Source organism: Homo sapiens, chromosome 2 (assembly GCF_000001405.40).
Source record: "Homo sapiens chromosome 2, GRCh38.p14 Primary Assembly".
Classification (NCBI taxonomy): Eukaryota; Metazoa; Chordata; class Mammalia; order Primates; family Hominidae; genus Homo; species Homo sapiens.
In genome coordinates this window covers 230,551,900-230,552,960 of record NC_000002.12, presented here as the reverse complement: position 1 = coordinate 230,552,960, position 1,061 = coordinate 230,551,900, and the positions used below count along the sequence as shown (strand labels likewise).

The 1,061-nt window shown below is 38.3% G+C and overlaps 1 annotated feature.

Moving 5' to 3' along the window:
- Nucleotides 540–740: a silencer, noted in NCBI's record as "peak4076 fragment used in MPRA reporter construct". NCBI's record gives its function as "represses an SCP1 promoter by STARR-seq MPRAs in K562 erythroleukemia cells {active_cell/tissue: K562}" and the evidence as "EXISTENCE:reporter gene assay evidence [ECO:0000049][PMID:32103011]".

The following is a 1,061-nucleotide window of genomic DNA, read 5'->3' as shown; positions in this document are numbered from 1 at the left end:
AACATGAAGGGTTGTCGAATTTTATTGAGGGCCTTTTCTGTGTCTATTGAGATAATCATGTTGTTTTTGTCTTTAGATTTGTTTATGTGATGAATTATGCTTATTGATTTGCATATGTTGAACCAGCCTTGCATCCTGGGGATGAAGCCTACTTGATCGTGGTAGATAAACTTTTTGATGTGCTGTTGTATAAATGACACATTGTCATGCCTCTTAATACTGAAGTTTTGACTTTATGGTGTGATTTCTACATCTGTTTATACCTTATCTTTTATAGAGCATAGAAAGCTAAGAATTCTACTGGTTGATAATGTCCTTTGGGCACAAATGTGGAAAAAGCCTCAAAAGACAACTGGGCCCGGGCACAGTGGCTCATGCCTATAATCCTAACACTTTGGGAGGCAGAGGCAACAGGATTGCTTCAGCCCAGGAATTCAGGACCAGTCTAGGCAATATAGGAAGACTCCGTCTCTACAACAACAAAAACCAAAATTTAGCTGGGTGTGGTGGCACATGCCTATAGTTCCAGCTACTAGGGAGGCTGAGGTGGGAGAATCGCTTGAGCCTGGGAGGTCAAAGCTGCAGTGAGTCATGATTGCATCATTGCATTTCAGCCTGGGCAACAGAGTGTGACCCTGTCTCAAAAAAAAAAAAAAAAAAAAAAAAAAAGGCAATTGCTGCATTATCTAATTAGTGCCAGAAAGAAAAGCTACATATTAAACTATTTCTAACCCAAACAGTAGCTTTGAAAAATTTCCTCCAGCATGTCATGGGCTAATGTAATAATTTTACAGAGTAATTTTGCAAATGATTAAGGTATTTTAAAAATACATTCAGAAGAATTAAGCAGGAAAATTTTTGTTCTGTCTCGTCTTTTCTTTCTTTCTTTCTTTCTCTCTTTCTTTCTTTCTTTCTTTCTTTCTTTCTCTCTCTTTCTCTCTCTCCTTCTTTCTTCCTTTCTTTCTTTCTTTCTTTCTGTCTCTCTTTCCTTTTTTTTTTTTTTTTTTGAGACGGAGTCTCGCTCTGTCGCCCAGGCTGGAGTAGAGTGGCATGATCACAGC